The sequence below is a fragment of the Homo sapiens genome, chromosome 14 (assembly GCF_000001405.40).
Source record: "Homo sapiens chromosome 14, GRCh38.p14 Primary Assembly".
In the NCBI taxonomy this organism is placed as follows: Eukaryota; Metazoa; Chordata; class Mammalia; order Primates; family Hominidae; genus Homo; species Homo sapiens.
Genome location: NC_000014.9, coordinates 20,707,995 through 20,731,663, shown reverse-complemented (window position 1 = coordinate 20,731,663; position 23,669 = coordinate 20,707,995). Strand labels below are relative to the sequence as shown.

General features: G+C 43.9%; 2 long non-coding RNA genes and 1 pseudogene across 2 annotated transcripts in view; all 3 read left to right on the top strand.

The window, feature by feature from the left end:
* LOC107984671 (uncharacterized) overlaps positions 1-5,712 on the top strand; it is a 74,578-nt gene extending 68,866 nt beyond the window's left edge. The window contains exon 3 of the long non-coding RNA XR_001750624.2: positions 3,611-5,712. This is a non-coding gene — a long non-coding RNA (uncharacterized LOC107984671). The remainder of the gene's footprint in view (positions 1-3,610) is intronic.
* Positions 5,713-8,322: 2,610 nt separating this feature from the next.
* On the top strand, positions 8,323-10,849 carry RANBP20P (RAN binding protein 20 pseudogene; annotated as a pseudogene).
* Positions 15,941-21,871, top strand: LOC124903282 (uncharacterized). The gene is made up of 2 exons (XR_007064061.1): positions 15,941-18,583; positions 19,946-21,871. It is a non-coding gene; the product is annotated as an uncharacterized LOC124903282 (long non-coding RNA).
* Positions 21,872-23,669: the final 1,798 nt, after the last annotated feature.

The window sequence follows — 23,669 nt, the reverse complement described above, 5'->3', positions numbered from 1 at the left end:
CCTCCTTTTCTCAGAGCCCAGGAAATCTGCAGCAGTGGAGAAAGGAATGGCAGGGGGAGATTCAGCGCTTGAGTTGATTGGTAGCAGAGGTGGTGATGGGAAACAGCCTTATTATGTGAGCCTGTTCTTCTATAGTGTCATCTGGAACACTTGGGTTCACTCAGACAGTGGCTTTGAGCAAAGGCCACAAACATCAAAGACTGACTTCAGGGCACAAAAGAACTGAAAGACCCTAGGTGACCCCAGAAAGGGGTTATCTGGCACTAACAGGAGACAACAAGAGATGTGCCTCCCGCATTTAATTTCTGACAAGCTTCTGGGAAGTCTCTGGATGACTAGGCTACATTACATGGGAACTTCACTGAGGAAAACCACATTTAACATTGTGAACTGTAGGGCCTTCATTGAGAGTGAAAGAATGTCTAATGAAACCAATAGCCTGGTAGCTATGAATGATTAGGTAGCCAGTATCTGAAGTTTTTCTAGTCAGCTTATAACTATGACCCTTAGCTGTTTGCTGACGCTGTAGTGCTTACCATTAAAATGTCACGTAGCCTAGCCATAGTTTGCACAATGTTCCTATATATAACGTCTGACTGTGAAGTATGGGTCACAAGGTACTGGCTGAGTTGTTTTTCAGGAACTCAAGATTCAGTCCTGAACTGAGCTCAAACCAGACAAGACCACCTGCCCATGTGAGCGTCCAAGGGGTCACCTTTCCGCGTCACAGCCCAGATTTTTCACCATATGTTTTGTAACAACTACCCTAGAATTGGCAAATGTGACCAATAGTGGTTCATTAAAACTAGTCAAAGGTGCAATTTATGAATAAAGTAAGATACTTGCATATGTTTTCTATCAACACCTCCAAGGGCTGCTCCTAGCCAAGCCATCTTGGTTGATTTTCTCACTGGACCACCTCGTTGTTGGAATATCAGAATGTTTACAACCAGAACTTATCTTCAAAGTGCAGCTCTCAAGCAATCCTTGAATAATAGGGAATCATGTGCTGATAGACTGGATGGAAGGAGGATAGTATTAGAGCAGGTTCTGTGCATCTTTCTATTCTCTAGTCTTTGGGGCACAGGGGAGAGCAAAAAGGGAACAATCCTGGGCATCTGAATTTGGATGACTTGAGAGGCAATTCTGTGGGAAAATCAGTTGTTTGTCATGTGCACATACATCCAGAGCTCTTTTCAACAAGTGTGCACTATTTATTGAAGACTTAAATTCAAGTAATGACTCAATGAATGTAGAGAGAGGTAGGAGAGAGAAGCCACCTGAGCCAATGTGTGAAGAAGCAAGCTAAGAAAGAGATCTATGTGAAAGTAGTTTTTAAGCAATATAGCATTATGCTGATCTCTACTGCTGATAACATTATATGGTTATACTACCTCAGCCATGTCAACTAGTTAATCTAGTGTTTCTCAAATAAGTGATATTCCACTTTCCCACTTTCCTTTTTTTTTATTTTTTATTTTTTATTTTTTTTGAGACAAGGTCCAGGATCTCCCTCTCTCATCCAGGCTGGAGTGCAGTACAGTGGCATGATCTCAGCTCACTGCAATCTCTACCTCCTGGGCTCAAGCAATTCTCCCACCTCAGCCTCCCGAGTAGCTGGGACCACAAGCATGCACCGGTCATACCCAGCTAGTTTTTTAATTTTTTGTAGAGATGAGGTTTTGCCCAGTATTGTCTCGAACTCCTGAGCTCAAGCAATCCACCCACCTCAGACTCCCAAAGTGTTGGGATTACAGGAGTGAGCCACTGCACCCGGCCAGATATTCTACTTTCAATGTGGAAAAAAATTTATTGTGGACTCCAAGGGATACGTCCATGAACTCTCCTATGAGCTAAACCAAAAGTCCTAAAGCCTTTTGGATATAAAACCAATTAGGAAGTAAGCTAAACTATGCTAAGGGGAACAGTATTCTATTATATTTGCAGAAATTAGCCACTGCCAATGCAGCCCAGAAAGGTAGGTTAGCCAGTATTTCTGGAAACTGCTTAACGGGTCTACTTCCTAGAGCTGTCTACCAGTTTCTGCAACAGGAGTTCCTTGGGTAGTGACTTCTGATTTGAGTTATTTTTTTTTTATTTTTATTTATTTTTTTTGAGACGAGTCTCGCTCTGTCGCCCAGGCTGGAGTGCAGTGGCGCGATCTCGGCTCACTGCAAGCTCTGCCTCCCGGGTTCACACCATTCTCCTGCCTCAGCCTCCCGAGTAGCTGGGACAACAGGCGCCCGCCACCATGCCCAGCTAATTTTTTGTATTTTTAGTAGAGACGGGGTTTCACTGTGTTAGCCAGGATGGTCTCGATCTCCTGACCTCGTGATCCGCCCGCGTCGGCCTCCCAAAGTGCTGGGATTACAGGCGTGAGCCACCGCGCCCGGCTGATTTGAGTTATTAAGGAGATATTCCTCTTTGAGTATAAATTTCAAATTACTTGTTAATCATATTTGTTCTTTAAACATTGCTTTTGATTTGAACTGCTTTCTATTAATTCCTCGGTATTTTATTTTGTTAACCACTATTCGATTCTTAAATTTAGGTGTACTACTGTTTCACAAAACCATAACAGTGACTTAGGTTTCTTTATGCAGAGGATGAACACGTCTATGGGTGTTTTAACCTGTAAGCCATGAGATTTGAAAGCCTCTATGGGTAGAATTCATGGGATCCATGCCGTGGTGCAGGGCAGAAAATTACATCTTTTCATTCACCCATATTGAAATTTAGCAATTATTTTACCAATGAATGTAGAAAAAATGGAAATCATAGACTTTTTGTAGCCATTTATATTTGTTGCCAATATCTCAAAATATTATTTCACATTGATCACTGCCTCAAAATTATAGTAGTAATTAGACCTAAATTTAGGTCTTAGTACTTAATGCGTTAATAAACACATACAATACTATACTATCTCAAACACTTTAAATGTTTGATATTTGATTTCCTTTGAAATCCCATGTATTTTATTTTTTGCATTTAATGATATTTTTCAGAGAACAAGTATTATTGTTCTCTTTTTCTCAGTTGTTATTGTTCTCAATAACTGTTTGGCTTCATCAGAATGCTGAAGGGGTGCATGACACAGAAAAGGTGAACACCCTTCTCCTAGGGGATGGCAGAGTAACACAATGAAAGAAGTCCGATTCCTAAATAACTTGCACTGCTTAGAGAGGAACTCTCAAGTGACAGGAAAATAAAATATTTTGCTTTTAAACTACGGAGCTGTTTTTGCAGCTCAGCCTTATCCTAAGTAACCCCATTGTGATTATCTTGATAGCAGTGTTAAATATTTTCTTTTACTGTTAATGATATTATAATTCAACTCTGTCTTAACTATTTTAACCAGAAATGGAATATAAATATTTCAAAGAAAAAAAAGACAACACACTAGTTTGTTTTTGTTAGGCTTTGGGTGAATTTCTAAAGTACCAGTAAAGCTGCATTCAGGCAGAAATGCACTTACTCCCTCATAATTCTCTAACCCCCAAGGCCAGCTCTAATATTGTCTCTCCATCTTTCTCTCTCTCTCTCTCTCTTTCTTTCCTTCTCATTCTCTATGTCTCTCCCTTGCTCTGTTTCTCACCCTTGCTCTCAGGAGACCAAACAGTTTGGAGGAACTTAAGGAAAGGACATGACCACAGACCTTCTCTGTAAGTTAGATATTGACAGAATACCAAGAATGATCATGACAGAACAATAGGGAACAACAAAGCTCACCTGATTGGGTCAGGTGTATTAAACACATATGTATCTGAGCAGTTAGCCACCTTATACTAGAACGTGAAGAACCCAGTGAAAATGCTCAAATGTCCTTTTCGGATTCAATCAGGACACTATGTACAAGTCTTGGCTATGTTACAATTAAAAGTAAGAGTGAAAGGAGTGACTTTGAAAAGGAAAAGTGGTGGTGTCTGGGACACAATTGGGGGATAAATGTGACAATAGAATATGGGCAGAGGGCATAGAGACAGGAATAGAAAATAAATTCCACCACAAGTGAAATAATGTGTCCAGCAAGGATTACTTCTTTTAATTACTCTAGGAAAACACATTCTGTTCCTCTATTCTCACACAACGCTTCTGACACCAGATGCATGGGTTTTTTCCACATCAAGCAATTCTCCAACTCTCCAAACATTAGCTTGGTGCCCTAAAATTTAACCCAATCCTGACTTTATCCACTTGGAGTTAGCATTGGATCTCACAAGTTAAGAGCTCAGTCCCATAAGATGCCTCCTACTTTAGATGCCACTGGCAAGTCTGGGCCTCCAGTACTTCTGACCAACCAGCTATAAATTGGAGGTTCCAACCACTCCTTCCTTAGATTTGATAATTTTCTACAATGGCTCATAGAACTCAGCAAATCACTTTATTTACATTTATCAGTTTATTATCATGAGCACAACTCACAAACAGCCAGATGGAAGTGGTTCATAGGGCTAGGTGTGGGAGGGGAAAGGTGTGGAGCTTCTGTGGCCTCTGGGCATGCCACCATCCCAACACCTCTATGTATTCAGCAATCTGGAAGCTCCTCAGATTGTATGTCCGAGAGTTTTTATGGAGCTTGGTCTCCAGTCCCTGCCCCCTTTCTAAATGTCAGTGGGTTGGCTGAAAGTGTCAACCTTCTAATCCCTGGTCTTTCTGTTGCCAGCCCCATCCTGAGGTCATGTAGGGGCCCCACCTTAAGTTACCTCATTAGCATAATCTCAGGCATGATCAAAGGGTCTCATTATGAAAAACAAGGCACTCCTACTTAAGCCAAAATAGCCTGCTTCAAAGATGAATAGCCTCATCCTTTGCTTTGTTCAATATTTAACCATATACTTGCTTAAGAGATCCAGGGGGCAATCTTGAAATAAACCAAGTAAGAAATTGAGATTGTAGAGTCCTCCTTCTCAGAAAAATCACTGAGTAGTTAATCCATAACCTGGTTGCAGTCATGGTGATGCCAGCCAGACCTCCAGGTAGTTGATTACTGAAGATAGTCATCAGAATGAGACACACAGCCCTGCATCGTGCACCACTCCTGCTCATAGTTTCCATGCCTCCTTTTCCTTTAAAATCCCTTTGGCTACCCTAAACATTTGACATAGTCTTTGAGGCACTAGTCCACCACCTCCTCAGGTTGCCATCTCTTGAATAAATCTGCTTTTCCTTCCACCAACCCTTGTCTCTTGAGTTTTGCTTTCAAGTGGTGAGCAGCTGAACCTGAGTTTTGTAGGATACAGTAAATTCCTTTTCAAAGTTTAGCCTGTTAACTTCCTTTAAAATTCAAGAGGGAGAAAAATTGTTAAGTACAATGAGCTCTGTGTTCCTCTTCAAAGAACCAATATGTCAGTATGTTCAGCTTCCCTGTTCTTTGTTCTCCATCTTAAAGTTTAACTTCCTCGTTCTTTACACCTCCTTGCCTCTAGTTTCAGTAAACAACCCCTTCCTAGCCTCTATCACCTGTTCTGTCCTTAGGCATCCTTAGTCACCTGTTCTGTAACTGTCCTTCTTCTGAAACTCATCACCCCGCCACTCCGGCTGGTACCCTCGCTCTCTTTAAAATAGCCAATCGGAATTAGCTTAGACTGTGAGGTCCAACCCTAGCCAATAGGGGAAAGACACAGCAGTAGGGACTAGCTGCGGGGTTAGGAATAAGACCCCCTTCCCTTCCCCTTCCCGTTCCCCTTCCCCTTCCCCTTCCTCTTCCCCTCCCTTGTCCGGTGTGCTCTCACCATTGCTCCATCTGCGAGATGCCCCCTTCTATAGAAGTAAATTGGCTTGCTGTGAAAACTTTTGCCTGAGTGCTATTTTCACCCTGCGGCACCGAGCATTTACTTCCAACAAATTTGGGGGCCCGCCCGGGATCCCATTCTCCTCTGGGGAAAAGTCTCTGATCACCTCTCGTGAGGAGACGCATCCCGCTGCCTCACTGCGGTGGCCTCAGGGGAAAGGAATCGAGACCCACCCAGCGTGAAGAATAAACTTGGACCCTCAGCAAAGTGGGAAGAAAAGGCCTACAAATAAATACCACGGCAACCAGGTAACTCTGTGCACAGACCAAGGTAAGAAAAGCTGCGGGGGCGGTGAAGTATTTCCTTGGTGGTGGTGACCAAGATAAAAAAAGCCATGGAGGTGGTGAAGTATTTCTTGGTTGGGACACACCAAGGTAAGAAATGCTGCAGGGGCGGTGAAGTATTTCCTTGGCGGTGGGGACATCCTGGAGGTTGAAAGTGTGTGGCCGAGACACACAACTGAGTGCAGAGCAAGTGCAGAGTCCAGATCTGGTTCTGCCTTGACCTCATACAGCTTAAAGGTGGCTTGCTCATGTGGGGTTTATACCGACCTGCTCTAGTAGGAGAGATTAAGCCCCACAGACTCGCTAGGGTGCAAGAAATCTCTAGTAAGAGAGATTGAGCCCTGCAGACTCAGGAAAAAACACTTTCTCCAGGATGGCAAATATAGCGAGTAAGACAAAAGATAGGAAAGACCATGATCATGATAATATCCCTGTGGTAGTCCCCTAAGCCTAATGTTAGAATATTGGAAGGGTAATGGAAGGACCCAACACAAGAAAATGATAAAATAGTGCTGTTTTATTTGGACTAAAGTACCTTCCTGTCCCCCAACTAGCTGCCATCCCAGACTCTTCCCTAAACCTAAAAAAGGAGCTTAAACCACTCTTAGATGACCCTTATGGAGTGGCAGATCAAATTGATCAGTTTTAGGACCCCAGTTATATACTTGGGCTGAGTTAATGTCTATCTTAGGCATCTTATTCTCAGGAGAAAAAATGAGCATGATACACAGGGCCGCCATGACCATTTGGGAACATGAACACCCTCCTGGTCAGAATGTCCCAGCAACTGAACAAAATTCCCAGCCCAGGATCCTTAATGGGATAACAACAATACGGCCCACTGAGGAAATATGAAAGACCTTAGGGAGATGGTAATAAAAGGAATTCGAGAATCAGTGCCCTGTGCCCAAAATCTTACCAAGGCCTTTAATATAAAACAGAGAAAAGATGAGGACCAATAGAATTTTTAGAAAGGCTTAAAGAGCAAATGAGAAAATACGCTGGCCTGGAATCAGAAGACGCTCTTGGGCAGGGAATGTTTAGAACTTCATTTCGTCACTAAGAGTTGGCCAGATATTAACAAGAAATTACAAAAGATAGAGAACTGGAAAGATAGACCTATAGAAGAGCTTCTGAGAGAAACCCAGAAAGTATATGTAAGAAGGGATGAAGAAAAACAAAAGCAGAAGGCGAAAATTCTGCTGTCCACCATACAACAAAGTACCCAGGGGGCCAGAACCTATAAAGAACCCACTCTCCAGGCAATATAAAGGGTATGAAAGAGTAAAGCCAGGAGACTCAAAGGTAGAGAGAAAAAAAAAATCTTAGAGGAGACAGAAGTGAAATATAAAAAACAATCAGCTAGTATCAAATTTATGTTAATTCTGGAAACAGGGACAAATCTATTAGAAAGAGATTTAACGCTAAAATTAGGCTTAGGTCTCCAGATCAGTCTTGGAAAATTCCTCCCCTCCCTAAACTTGCTCACCACCACAGACAAAGAACACATTCATCCCGAGGTATGGTCAAAAGACGGGAATTGAAAGTTACAGATTCCTCTGATTCATCTTAAATTAAACACCCCTGGGGAAGTAGTAAAGCGAAAGCAATACCCTATTCCTTCAAAAGCCAGGGTAAATTTGAAACCTCTGATTGAAGGTCTTGTCCGTGATGGGCTTCTTGAACCCTGCATGTCTTCCTATAACACTCCAGTACTGCCTGTAAAAAGGCAGATGGCTCATACCGGTTAGGGCAAGACCTTAGAGCTATTAATCAGATACTCCAAGCTACACACTCTGTTGTTCCCAATCCTAATACTATTATCAGTAGGATCCCATACAGCCACCAGTGGTTTACAGTAGCAGATTTTAAAATGCTGTGGTCGGGGGCGGCCGTGCGGTACGAGCGAGCGGCTCCAGGGCGGGCGCGCTCAGGGATGCTCTAGGGGGCGGCGGCGGCAGCCGTGTGGGCTGAGGCGGCGAGGACAGCGCGGGCCCCTGGGCCTCTCCCCTGAGCCGGCTGCCCCGGCAGCGCAGCCAAGGCCCCGTCAGCCTCCGCCCCTTCAGCCTCCGGGCCGAGCCCGCCGCCACCTCTGCCCGCGGAGGCCGGGGAGCCCCCGCCTGCGCCCGCAGCCTCCCCCGCGCGGGGTTCGGGCCGGGCGGGGGTCCCGAGCTGCTGCCCTCCTCGCCAGCAATCGAGCCCCATTTCCTACTTTTTCAGTTTCCTTGTGGAGGGGCCGGTGGGTCTAGATGACTTGTCTCAGGGGCCCCCGATGAGGCGACCCAGGCAGCCCTGCCCTTTTTAGAGGATCCCCTCGGGGCCCGGGGGGGAAGGGGTTATCTTTGCATGGGTAGGGGACTTCCCTAGTCTGCCGGGACCATGACCTGAACTGGGCGAGTAGGATGTGTCCAAAGCCCAAGAACCAGCTCATCTGAGCCGCCCCCTCCCCGGCCAGCATGGCATCTGAAGAAGCCCCTCTCAGAGCATTGGAAAGGCTGATGACAGAACTTTTTCACGATGGTACGACCAATGAAAGAAAACGTGAGATAGAGGAGCTTCTTAATAACATTGCCCAGCAAATAGGAGCCTGGAGATTCTTCCTGTACTTTCTCTCCAGCACTAGGAATGGCTATGTAATGATGTACAGTTTAACAGTTTTTGAGAATCTGATCAATAAAATGTGGCTTGGGGTCCCATCTCAGGATGAGATGGAAATCCACAGCTGACTGCCCAAACTCCTTTTGGCTCACCATAAAACCTTACCTTACTTTATCCAGAGCAAGTTCTGCAAAGTTATTGTTGATATTGGACGTCAGGATCGGCCCATGTTCTACCATGACTTTTTTACTAACATTTTGCAGTTGAACCAATCCCCTGTGACAACCCCCCTTGGGCCGATCATGTTGAAGACAACTTCAGAGGAGCTGGCTTGTCCCCACGAGGACCTCAGTGTGGCTTGGAAGGAGGAGTTGCAGAAGCTGCCACTGGACCAGGTGCAGACAGTGCTTGGGCTGCTGACCGCTATCTTGGGGACTGTCTGGGACAAACACAGTGTTACTGCTGCCACTCCACCACCCTCCCCGACAGGAGAAAGTGGTGACTTACTGAGTAACCTGTGGCAGAGTCCTAGTTCAGCCAAACTGTTGAATCAGCCAATTCCCATCCTTGATGTGGTGAGTGAGTATATCTGTTCCCTTGCCTTGGAGTGCCTAGCCCATCTCTTCAGTTGTATTCCTCTGTCTGCCGGCATCACCCCATCCCTCCTTACCACCACCTTCCACTTTGCGTGATTTGGCTGTGACATCCGTGCCAGAAAGATGGCGTCAGTTAACGGCAGCAGCCAGAACTGTGTCTCGGTTCAGGAGCGGAGCCGGCCGGGGGTCCTGGCCATGCCCTGCATCAGTGAACTCATTTCCAAGAGCTGTGTGCCGATGGAGTTCGAGGAGTATTTACTGCTTATGTTCCAGCAGACTTTCTACCTCCTGCAGAAGATCACCAAGGATAACAATGCCCACACAGTGAAGAGCAGGCTAGAAGAGCTCGATGAGAGCTTTATTGAGAAGTTTACTGACTTTCTTTGGCTCTTTGTGAGTGTTCACCTAAGAAGAATCGAGTCTTACTCCCAGTTCTCTGTGGTGGAGTTTTTGACACTTTTGTTCAAGTACACATTTCATCAGCCTACTCATGAAGGTTAATTCTCTTGTTTGGATACTGGACACTCTTTTTGGACTATCTGACAAATAAAATTAAAAGTCATCTTGAAGACAAGGAAGCAGTTCTCAACAGGTACGAAGATGCCCTGGTGCTCCTCCCCACAGAGGTGTTGAATCAAATCCAGTTCAGATACAACCAGGCCAGCTGGAGGAGTTGGATGACGAGACTCTGGATGACGATCAGCAGATGGAGTGACAGCGGTACTTACGGCAGAGCTTGGAGGTGGCGGTCAAAGTGATGGAGCTCCTGCCCACGCACACGTTGTCCACACTGTTCCCAGTTCTTCAGGGCAATTTAGAAGTTTATTTGGGATTACAGCAAGTTATAGTTACATCAGGGTCAGGACACAGGTTGAACATCATGGCAGAGAACGACTGCTGGTGGCTGCACTGCTCCCTGAGAGACTTGAGCTCCCTGCTGCAGGCCATGGGCCACCTGGCCGGGTACTTTATTGGGGATGTGTTTGCTGCATGGTTCAATGATGCCCTCACAGTTGTGGAGAGTTTGGTCAAAGTCACTCTGTATGGATCTCAGATAAAGTTGTACAACATTGAGCCAGGTGCGGTGGCTCACGCCTGTAATCCCAGCACTTTGGGAGGCCGAGGTGTGTGGATCACAAGGTCAGGAGACTGAGACCATCCTGGATAACATGGTGAAACCCTGTCTCTACTAAAAACACAAAAAATTAGGTGGGCACGGTGGCACGTGCCTGTAGTCCCAGCTATTCGGGAGGCTGAGGCAGGAGAATCACTTCAACCAGGGAGGGAGAGGTTGCAGTGAGCTGAGAACGTGCCACTGCACTCCAGCCTGGGCAAGAGAGCAAGACTCCGTCTCAAAAAAGAAAAAAAAAAATTGTGCAACATTGAAACTGATGTGCCATCAGTATTGAAACCTGACCTCATTGATGTACGTGCTCAGTCCCTGGCTGTGCTGCAGGCTTACACTCACTGGTTAGTGCAGTATTGCAGTGAAGCTCACCAGCAGAACACACAGCAGTTCGTGACACTCATCCCTATTACCATGAATGCAATCACACCTCTAATCAGCACCAAGTTCTCGAAGCAGCAAAGCCTACCGTCTACACCTTTTATCTAACTCTGTCTCTCCTTCTGTTCCTATACCCATTTATTAGAAAATCTAAATATGACACAGAGTTAGACCCATAAATCTTTCCGCTTTATAAAACTGTTATTTCATCTTCCTTTTTACTTGTAGCCCACATGCATTCAAATACAACTTTACTTTTTTGGTTATATAAGTTCCACATGCTCACTGTGAAAAACCAAAATATTGTTCAGATTTCCAGACTAAAAAGTTGTGATACCTTTGAAACATTTTCCTTCAGGCGGTACACACAGTTGGGCATTGGTTGTGCAGGCACACCTCGTTTTGTTGTGTTTCCCTTTATAGCACTTCGTAGATACTGTGTTTTTTACAAGTTGAAGGCTTATGGCAACCCTGCATTGAGCAAATCTGTCAGCGCCATTTTTTCAACAGCATTTAGTGCTTCCATGTGTCACATTTTGGTAATTATTAGAATATTTCAAACTTCTTCTATGACTATATCTGACAGTAATTTGTGGTTAGTGATCTTTGATGTTACTATTGTAATTATTTTGGGGTGCCACAAACTGAAGATGGCAAACTTGATTGATAAATGTGTGTGTTCTGACTGCTCCACTGATTGGCGGCTTCCCCACCTTCCTGTCTTTAGGACTCCCTATTCCCTGAGCCATTTAGTAACCCTACAATGACCTCTATGTGTTCAAGTGAAAGGAAGAGTCACATGTCTCTTACTTTAAAAATCTAGAAATGATTAAGCTTAGTGAGGAAGGCGTGTCAAAAGCTAGGATAGGCCAAATGCTGTTGAGCCAGTTAGTCAAGTTGCGAATGCAAAGGAAAAGTTCTTGAAGGAGATTAAAAGTTCTGCTCTAGTGAACACACAAGTGATAAGAAAGCAGAACAGCCTTATTGTTGTTGACACGGGGAAAATTTCAGTGGTTCGGATAGACCAAACCAGCCACAACATTCTCTTATGCCAAAGTCAAAACCAGATCAGGCCCTTCAATTCTCTGAAAGCTGAGAGAGGTGAGGAAGCTACAGAAGAAAAGTTGTAAGCCAACACAGGTTGGTTCGTGAGGTTTAAGGAAAGAAGCCATCTCCATAACATAAAAGTGCAGGATGAAGCAGCAAGTCCTGAGGAGAAGCTGCAGCAAGTTCTCCAGAAGCTCTAGATAAGATCATTGATGAAGGTGGCCACACTAAACAACAGATTTTCAGTGTAGATGAGACAGCTTTATAGTGGAAGAAGGTGCCATCTGGGACTCCCATAGCTAGAGAGGAGGAGTCAGTGCCTGGTTTCAGAGCTTCAGAGGGCAGGCCAACTCTCTTGTCAGGGGGCACCTGCCACTGGAGACTTCAGGTTGAAGCCAGTGCTCATGTATCATTTGAAAATCCTAGGGCCCTTAGGAATTATGCTGAATCTACTTTGCCTGTCTCTATAAATGGAACAACAAAGCCTGATTGACAGCACATCTGTTTACATCATGGTTTACTGAATATTTTAAGCTCATTATTGAGACCTGCTCAGAAAAAAAAGATTCCTTTCAAAATACTACTGCTGATTGGCAATGCACTTGGTTACCTAAGGCCTCTGATGGAGATGTTCAAAGATATTAATTTCCATAGTTTCCATGCCTGCTCACACAACATCCGTTCTGCAGTTCTGCAGCCCATGGATCAAGGAGTAATTTTGGCTTTCAAGTCTTATTACTTCAGAAATACATTTCATAAGACTATAGCGGTCATAGATAGTGGTTCCTCCAATGGATCTGGGCAAATAAATTGAAAATATTAATTCAAATAATGGAACTCATTTCACTGCACATATCATTAAGAAATTAGCCCAAGCACTAGACATAACGTGGGAATACCATACTCCTTGGCACCCACCTTCATCGGGAAGAGTAGAAAGAATAAATCAAACCGTGAAGAGTCACTTAACCAAATTAGTCTTAAAGACTCAGTTGCCATGGACTAAATGCCTTCCCATTGCCTTGCTAGGAATCTGAACCACCCCTCAAAAAGATGTTGGCCTATCCCCATATGAGATGCTATATGGGTTGCCCTATTTACACTCCACTGCTGACATTTCCACCTTCGAAACAAAAGATCAGTTTCTCAGACATTATATACTTGGTTTATCTTCCACTTTCTCTTCCCTTAGAACTAAAGGTCTTTTAGCACAGGCACCATCCCTGGAGTTCCCAGTACATCGAAATCAGCCCGGGGATCAAGTCCTCATCAAAAACTAGAAGGAGGAAAAGCTGGAACTGGCCTGGGAAGGACCTTATCTAGTGCTCCTAACTACTGAAAGCGCAGTCCAGACAGCAGAAAAAGGATGGACCTATCACACCCAAGTCAAGAAAGTGCCGCCCCCTCCAGAGTCGTGGGCCATAGTCCCAGGGGAAAACCCTACCAAACTAAAGCTAAGAAATTTTTTTTTTTTTTGAGACAGAGTCTTGCTCTGTTGCCCAGGCTGGAGTGCAGTGGTGCGATCTTCACTCACTGCAACCTCCACCTCCCGGGTTCGAGCAATTCTCCCGCCTCAGCCTTCCGAGTAGCTGGGATTACAGGCGTGTACCACTACGCCTGTATAATTTTTGTACTTTTAGTAGAGATGGGGTTTCACCATGTTGGCCAGGCTGGTCTTGAACTCCTGACCTCAAACGATCCACCTGTCTCGACCTCCCAAAGTGCTGGGATTACAGGCGTGAGCCAAGCTAAGAAAAATTTAACTCTCTTATTACTCCTTCTTCTTTCCTCATTCTATTGCTGACCACCTCATTATTAATGTAACAAAGTCAATTTCACCTCAAACTATTACATTTGATGCTTGCCTTGTTATACCTTGTGGAGACTTGTCAAGTTAAAGACAGCTCTCCAATTCAGAAAAGTACCTCTGTCCTTCCCGGCTCTCCTCAGACTGGACATTAGTGAATGGGGATCATTTAGTCTGGAGAGATTTCAATAAAGACCCCAGTATCAGCTGGGAGTCTTGCTCCTGCAAGACAGAGCTTTTATGCCACAGTTGGTCCAACATTCTGTGGACCACTAAAGAGCAAGGATGAGCTGCCCCAACCAGTGGTTGTAATTTCCTAAAGTCATATATTCACTTTACTAAAGGAACAGCTTCACCTAGCTGTCAGCTGAACCGTGCAATCCAATACAGGTTATTATCTCAAACCCTCAAAGCTCTTCCCCTTCTCTAAGCCGGTTCCCTTCTTTAAGCCGGTTTTATGGTGTGGGGGCTGAGGTTTCAGGAACAGACCCTATCAGATCCTTTGAAACACAATTCATTGATCCTCTGCCGCCTACACCTTCCCTTAAGCCTTCTTCCAGAAGCTCTCACAACAAAACTGTTGTTCTCCTCCATCTAATGACAAGACCAAGGTAGTTATTATAGAAGTTAAAGACCTAAAACAAACTTTGGCAATTGAGACAGAATATCAAGATGCTAATGCCTGGTTGGAGTGGATCAAACATTCCATCCACACTTTAAACAAAAGCATTTGTTATGCTTGTGCGCACGGCAGACCAGAAGCCCAGATTGTCCCCTTTCCATTAGGATAGTCCTTTAGTCTACTAGGCATGGGCTGTATGGTTACTTTTTTCCAGGATTACACAGCCTGGGGTAAAAAGTCGTGTCAAGCTCTCTCTGCTATATCCTGAGGTTCAATACCCTGCAGGTCAGCCCCCAAGGTCCACTCAGCTTCTGTCCCCTGACGCTAAGTTCACTTCATATCTCTCACTACAGGGAGGAAACTTAGCATTCCTTGGAGACCTAAAAAGATGCAGTGAGCTTAAGACTTTCCAAGAGCTTACCAATCAGTCAGCCCTTGTTCATCCCCAAGCATATGTATGGTGGTATTGTGGTGGACCTTTACTGGACTCTCTGCCAAGTAACTGGAGCAGCACTTGTGCTCTAGTTTAATTGGCTATCCCTTCCACCCTAGCATTTCATCAACCAGAGAGAGGAAAAATACAACATCATAAAACAAGGGAAGCTCCTTATGGGTCTTTCAACTCCCACATTTATTTAGATGCAATTGGAGTCCCATGAGGAGTACCAGATAAATTTAAAGATCAAGATTAAATAGCTGCAGGATTTGAGTCAAGATTAAATAGCTGCAGGATTTTGTGGGTGACAATTAATAAAAACATAGATTGGATAAATTACGTCTATTATAATTAGCAGTGGTTTATTAATTACACCAGGGATGCTGTCAAAGGGATAGCAGAACAATTGGGGCCCACTAGCCAGATGGCCTGGGAAAACAGAATGGCCCTAGATGTGATATTAGCTGAAAAAGGCAGTGTTGGTGTTATGATTAAAACTCAGGGCTGTACCTTTATCCCAAGCAACACTGCCCCCACTGGGAGCATAACAAGGGTCTTACAAGGACTTACTGCTTTATCCAATGAATTAGTTAAAGATTCTGGAGTCAATAACCCTTTCTCAGGATGGCTAGAAAGGTGGTTCAGTAGATGGAAAAGATCATAGCCTCGATTCTTACTTCTCTTGCAGCCGTAATAGGTGTACTCATTCTTGTTGGGTATTGTGTCATACCATGCGTCCGTGGGGCAGTGCAAAGAAACAGCACCTACTAAAACCTCCCTTAACTTTCCTCCACCTTATTCAGAAAAGCTTTCTTCTTTTAGAGGATCAAGTCAAGCAGCAAAGCCAAGACATGTTAAAAAGGTTTGAAGAGGAAGGCCTATGAAAATTGAAAGGGGGGAGATTGTAGGATACAGTAAATTCCTCTTCAGAGTTAGCCTGTTAACTTCCTTTAAAATTCAAGATGGTGGCTGGGCGTGGTGGCTCATGCCTGTAATCCCAGCACTTTGGGAGGCCAAGGCAGGCAGAACATGAGGTCAGGAGATTGAGACCATCCTGGCTAACATGGTGAAACCCTGTCTCTACTAAAAAATACAAAAAAATCAGCCGGGCGTGGTGGCGGGTGCCTGTAATCCCAGCTACTCAGGAGGCTGAGGCAGGAGAATGGCGTGAACCCAGGAGGCGGAGCTTGCAGTGAGCCTAGATTGCACCACTGCACTCCAGCCTGGGTGACAGAGCAAGACTCCATCTCAAAAAAAAAAAAAAATTCAAGAGGGAGAAAAAAATCATTTAAGTACAATGAGTTCTGAGTTCCTCTTCAAAGAACAAATACGTCAGTATGTTCAGCTTCCCTGTTCTTTGTTCTCCATTTTGAAGTTTAACTTCCTTGTTCTTTACACCTCCTTGCCTCTAGTTTCAGTAAACAACCCCCTCCTAGCCTCTATCACCTGTTCTGTCCTTAGGCATCCTTACTCTCCTGTTCTGTAACTGTCCTTCCCTGATGAAACTACTCACCCCACCACTCCAGCTCATACACTCACTCTCTTTAAAATTTCCAACTGGAATTAGCTTAGACTGTGTGGTCCAACCCTAGCCAACAGGGGAAAGACACAGCAGTAGGGACTAGCTGCATTAGGAATAAGACGCCCTTCTCCTCCCTTGTCTGGTGTGCTCTCACCATTGCTCCATCTGAGAGATGCACCCTTCTATAGAAGTAAATTGCTTTGCTGAGAAAATTTTTGCCTGAGTGCTATTTTCACTCTGTGGCACCGAGCACTTACTTCCAACAGTTTGGTTACATTTTTTATCACCCAGCATGGGGCTATATGTCTCTACTGGTCTAGCGTGCCTGGTTTCCGATGGATGGAGCAATTGGCTGTGGCATCATGCCAGGGCTTACTCATTCATGCTACCAGGCAGAGCAACAACTTCTCATGAGGATTAGCTGCTCGTGGCTAGCTGACCTCCCAGCTGGGATTCTAGGGTTGTCCCAGCAGCTGCCAAGAACATCTTTTCCCTCCTTCCCCCTCTGTGGCATCAGCTGCCTGCAATGCTTTATTAGTATAAGGAAAATGATAGTTGAGGAAGTTGACAGGATTCAAGACTGGGTAAATCAAACCAGTTTGCATGCTAGAAATCCTCTGTCTCTGCCATTTGGGCTTTATGCCATTTGGACCTGACACAGGTCTTTTGCAGTATCAGTTAGCCTAAGATTTATTAACTTCCCAGTCTCCTTCTACAGGAATTGGTTCAGGAGTACTCTGTGTTGATCTGTGTGTTTGTGTTCTTTTGATCTCTCCCCTGAGAATGGGCAACTTGACTTCCATTCCATCTAAGTGGCCATTGGGCTGTATATTGGCTTATTGGAAAGCTTATAGCTATGAACTCATAACAAAAAAGATAATGATTTTTTTTCATTGTAACACTGTTTGGCCTATGTATGTGTTGGAATCTGAAAAATGGTGGCTACTGAACAGTGATTTACATTAGTACACCTTATTACAGTTGGCGTTATTTTGCCTAAGATCTGGGAAATGAAATGAGATTCCATGTGTTTAAGCATTTATTACATAACAAAGACTCAGCACATGAGGGGTCTATGTGAATGACGTAGAGAAAAGGGAAAAAGAGATTTCTCTTTCCAGATAGTAAGACCCAAAAGGAAGAGGATATTGATGATATGGGCCTCATAAATATCTTAAATTTCCCCTCCCATGTGGTACTGGGGGCACCAGCCCTCCCAGGATTACCAAATGTAGCCCAGGACCCGGAGAGGCCAAGGTGTCAGCTCCTCTCCCCAGGATGGGGAAGGAATAGAAATGGCTGCTCCACTTGCAGATTTTACTTGGGACCCCAACAATGGAGGAATGGCCCTGTCCAGTCATTATAAAAAGCATGTGTTGGCAGGGTTAAAGAGAAGAATGTAAAAGAGCTTAAATAAAGCCAGGGCAGTTCTCCCAAAGGCAGATGAGAACCCCTGTGAATTTCTGGAGTGCATTTACCAGGTTTACCACAAGTGTATGGACTATGATCCAGAAGCTCCTGAGAATATGAGAATGGTAAACGTGACTTTCATCCAATATTAAACGAAAACTGCAGAAACTGGAGGGGGTATTTGGAATAAACCTTTCCCAACTGCTGGACATTGCCTTCAGAGTATATAATGCCAGGAAGGCCAAAAAGCTAAAGCAAGCCATGATATACTTGGAATTAGTGGAAAGAATGTATATCCGAAAAGGAAAAACCAGGCACAGGGAGGTGGCCAGAACAAAACTCTAGGTAATGATCAGTCTGCCCCCTGCAAGGAGGAAGGTCATTGGAAATCTGAGTGCCCCAAATTAAAGAAAAGACAGGGAAACCAGAAGAAGGGAGACACAGTGACAGAGAAGAAACATACTGGCTGATGGTAAAGCAGGACTGTAGCTCAGATAGTGAAGGAGGCCCAAATCTTTTGGAGCAGGTTGTAATTTCCCCACAGGAACCTCAGGTACGATTGACAATGGGGAACAAATTGATTGACTTTTTAATCAATACTGGTGTGACTTATTCAGGTAGAAACACTAAAGAAACTGAAAGTACTAGGAAAACAGTGCCTGTGATGGTTGTCGCTGGCAAGATGCAGCAAACAGCCTTTCTCCAGACCCTGGAGAGTCTGGAGACTGCCGGACACAGAGATCTGGAGCTGAGACACAGTTTCCTCTATATGCTGGAATACCAAATTCCTTTGCTGGAGTGAGATTTGCTTTGTAAACTAAATTGCCATGTGACGTTTTTCTCCAGAAAAACAACAACTTCATCTGCAGGTCCTGCCAGAGCAAGCTTTGCAGCTGCAGATGCTGCTCACACACCCCGAGGAAGAAAAAGAATGCCTCCTGCCAGCAATCTGTGAGCAAGTAAGTAGTCATGAGGGCAGATGGGACCACAGGTAGTGCTGAAAATACACAGCCTGTGTGCACAGAAATAAATGAAGGGGCTAAGGTATTCCCCAAACACAGTGCCCTCTAAAAAGAGAGGCTTTAGAGGGGATACAACCTATATTACAGAAGTTTCTAAAAAATGGACAAATATGTCCTTACAGATCTCCATACAATGCCCCTATCCTGACTGTTAAAAACCCACACTCAAATGAATATTGATTTGTACAAGATTTGGGAACCATTAATGACATTGTTCAAGACATTCACCCAACTATGCCCATCCTTTACACCTTACTAACTGATAAACCAGGGCAGTATGGGTAGTTTTCGGTATTAGACTTAAAAGATACTTTTTTTTTTTTTTTTTTTTTTGCATCCTGATTGAAGAGAGGGACCAGATGCTGTTCACCTTTGAGTGGCAAGACCTGGAAACAAAAAACACCTTCCAATATTGTTAGGCTGTATTTTCTTAAGGTTTTAAAAACTCACCCACCATCTTTGGCAAAATATTGGCAAAGGGCTTCAGAGATTTTCAACTAGATGATGGGGTTCTGCTAAAATACTTGGATGACTTGTTAATCGCAAGCCAAGACTATGAGAGGTGCCTATCTAACACTATCTTAATCTTAAATTATTTGATATAATACGGACGTAACATATCACCTCAGAAAACTCAGATTTGTAAACAAGAAGTGACCTATCTTGGCTTCTGACTAAAAACAAGGAAAGCAGAGCTTGATGTCCAACCAGAAACAGGTGATAGCAGCAATAAAGGCCCCTGGGAATGGAAGACACTGTGGGGGGTTTTAGGTGTGGCAGGTTTCTGCTGAATCTGAATCCCTAATTTTGGACTCATAGTCAAACCTCTCTACAAGGCTCTAAAGGGATTAGATTCAGGAGCCCTAAACTGGATGGCTGAATGCCTTCAGGCATTTGATACCATCAAAAAAAAAAAAAAAAATAGTGTCAGCTCCAGCATTAGGACTGCCCAATTCTTGAAAGCTATTTAGACTCTATATCCATGAAAACCAGGGCACAGGACAGGAAATACTAATTCAACTACGTGGGAATTCCCCACAACCCATAGCCTACTTTCCCAAACAACTGGAGCAGATTACCAGAGGATGGCCACCTTGTCTTCAGGCCGTGGCAGCTACGTGTGATATCTTACAGGAAGCAGAAAAATTCACCCTAGGACAGCCCATTACTGCATTTGTGCCTTATCAAGTGTTAACCTTATTGTAACAAAAGGGAGGTTACTGGATGATAGCGGGGCATATGGGCAAATACCAAGCCAGCCTATTAGATAACAGAAATGTTTTCTCCAAACCACCACAGTCTTGAATCCTGCCACCTTGCTCCCAGCCACTGAGTCCAACTATGAACTGGAGCATAATTGTTTAGAAATTCTTGATGCAGTCTATTCCAGCAGACCAGATCTGTCAGATCATCTGATGGCCACTCCGGACTGGGAGCTATACACTGACTGAAGCAGTTTCACAGAAGGAGGACAACGCCAGGCCAGGTATGCTCCAGTGACCCTAGACAAAGTAGTAGAAGCCTATGTCCCCGCTGCTGGTACTTCAGCACAAAAAGCTGAATGGATTGCTCTCATCAGGGCCTTAAAACAGTCTCAAGAGAAATGGGTAAACATTTACACCTACTCCAAGTATGCCTTCTTGGTAGTGTATGCCCGTGGGGTCATTCAGAAAGAAAGGGGATTCTTAACCTCAAGAAATAAAGACATTAAACACCTGCTGGAAATTTTAGCTTTGTCAGAGGCAGTTGTTCTGCCAACTCAAGTTGCTATTATGCACTGCCAAGGCCACCAAAAGGATGACTCCCCAATAACCAAAGGGAATCAAGTGGCTGATAAAGCTGCAAAGCAGGCCACTCAAGAAACATATTTACTTGGGACCTTAATACTCCATTTAAACTTGTCAGAATTTAAACTCCACTACACTGAATGAAATGAAGAATGCACACATGAGTGGACATTGACCAACACAGACCCTTGTTCCTCATGGAAAGCTAACACTCATGGGATATTACTCTCTGAGGCCCTGGTATACCCAGTCCTGAAAGACCTGCATGAGGGGACACACTATGGCAGAGATGGACTGGCTCACCTGGTGTAGCCATATCTCAAAGGGCCACACCTTCAAAAGATCATTCAAAAGATTATACAAGCATGTTATCTATATACCCCAAATGATTCAAGAACTGCATGCAACTCTTCCCAGAGGAGGATACAATACAAAGGAATATGACCATTCGAGGACTGGCAGGTTGATTTCACCCAGATGCCAAAAACACTGGGATTTATAAGTACCTACTAGTGTTTGTAGACACATTTTCTGGAAAGGTTGAAGCTTACCCGAGCAAGAGATTGAAGCCTATCCGAACAAGTCTGAGAAAGCTGCAGAAGTAGCTAAGGCTCTGCTAAAAGAAATCATTCCTCGATTTGGACTTCCTTACTCCATACCAAGCAACAATAATCCTTCTTTAATTTCTGAGATCACACAAAGGATAAGCCAAGCATTACAGATCAAATGGAAATGACACTCTTGTTGGAGGCCACAATCAACTGGAAAGACTGAAAAGATGATCCACATGCTAAAAAACAAAAACAAAAACAAAAACAAAACAAAACAAACAAACAAAAAAACCAAAAAAAACCCCTGGCAAAACTCTATCGGGAAACAGATTTAAAATGGTAAAGGGTTTTACCTATTGCCCTGCTATGGATTGGGGTAGCACCCTGAAGTGGGCTTAAATTAAGCCTTTTTGAAATTGTGTGTGGGAGACCCTTCTGAAGTTCTTGGCCAGGGACCCCACCCTTGGACTTAATAAATTAATCAAGAATTAAACAATATGTACAACAACTAAGACATAAATCACTAACCCTGCACAAGTTTGTTCTTTTTGTTCTTTCCAGTTTTATGTGTCTTACAAAAAAGCCCCTTCACCCTTTTCATCCAAGGATAAAGTGCCGCTAAAATCTTGGTAAAAACAAGGACTGGACCAACAACAGCCAGCCAAAAAGTGGACAGGTCATTATGATGTTTTATTAACTACTCATTCATCTGTTAAGCTGGCTGGAGTCAAACCACGCATACATCACATTTCGGTAAAAATCGCCCCTCCCCAACCTGACACAGCAGACAATCAACCTGGTTGGACTTGTGAGCCAACTGGAGAACTGAAGCTACTGCTTAAGAAAAATCTTTTTGTACTATAGGATTAAATTTCTGTTATTCTTTATCATAATGAGTAAACTTTTTTGACATCTGCTAAAACTAGTCTATTTCTACAGTGGGCATAACATTATGCAGATAGTCTACACTAAGATGCTTGCTGGGTATGTGGATTGCTACCCATCTCTAGCACTTCTGGGCTACTTTAGTGAGTATCACCCCTGCAGGGGACTGATTAGATACATTTACAAACGTATATGAAAAACTGTTCATGGGAAAATCAGGACCTTGGTAACTTAAGGTAATATTTTTTAAAAATGGCCTGGCATTAATATAACGCTTCAGAATCCAGATCCTGGAAAACTCTTCATTATAACCGGACTATCCAAAGGACCTCTGAGTATGCAATCCCTCTCTTAAAGGAGTTTTCCTAGATGGCCCCCAAGATTTTGGCTACTAATAACCATTACACGGTAGGTGAGTTTTTATCAAATTTGGGACGATTACCTCTGGATGATCTCCACTATTAGTCACTTAACCCAAATTGCCACTTCATGTTGGGAACAAAGGAATCACTCTTAGAATCATTGGCCGAATGTTACTAAAAATGTGGATAGGATGCCTCTACATCAATATGAACATTCTTTAGTGCTATATTAGACAAACCTGTTTACCACTGATTGGACACAGACCCAAAATTTGGTGGCTGGTCCCCAGTGGAACTCAATAGTTATGTGAAACTAATCTTCGGCCATGTCTACCTGATGGATGGATAGGGCAGTGCACGTTAGGACCCCCATAGGTCCGGGGCTGATTAACAAAAACCACCAGGCAGCCTGCACACTTTCCAGATGTGTTACACCAATGGACCAGGCCGGTTTTCCCTTCCTACGACCATCTCCTGTCCCTTGTTTTCCCCCAAGCAGGCTTAGAAAGCATCATCTGGCATATTGAGGCACTTACAAATTATAGCAAGTGCTGAAAGACACATTTAAGGGCATCTCATTAGTAACCTCTGAAATGACTATGATGGGAAAAGTAGTCTTGCAAAACCACATGGCCCTTGATGTACTCACAGCTGCTGGGAGGGACCTTGACCCATAATTGAAACTAAATGTTTTGTGTATATCCTAGGTAATTTGCGAAACATCTCCTTAGCCCTTCAAGACGTGCACAGACAAATCAATGCTATGTCTGACCCCACAATGTTCCTAAACCAGTGGTTATCTTCATGGTTTGGATACGGACCTACTTGGTGGAAAAAACTGCTAGTAGTTCCAGCTATGATTATAGGAATAGGTATATTCTCTATGGGTTATACTCTTGTTGCACCATATGTGTGATATTGCAAGATTGTGTTTTCCTTAATTGGAAAGGCTCCTAACTCCCAGGTCAATGATGCTGTAAAAAATCACTTCCATAAGTCAAGGAATGCATGAATACTTCCAACTCCAGGTAAATAAATTCCATTCTTCAGCTCCCTAGTGATGCCCTCATTCAGCAGGAAGTAGCTAGAAAGAAATTGACACCTGATCTCCCATAGAAATGAAACAGGAATTGGCAGTGGGGAGTTTGTAGCTGGAATAATCAGCCTGCTTCAATAATGAATAGCCTCACCCTTTGATTTATTCAGTATCTAGCCGTATCCTTGCTTAAGAAACCCAGGGGCTAATCTTGAAATAAACCGGGCATGAATTTGAGATTGTGGAATCCTACATTCTCAGAAAAATCACTGAGGGGGGTTAATCCATAAGCTAGTTGCAGTCATGGTGATGCCAGCCAGACCTCCAGGTGATCCGTTACTGAAGATAGCCATCAGAGTAAGACATGCAAACCTGCACCCTGCACCACTCCTGCTCATAGTT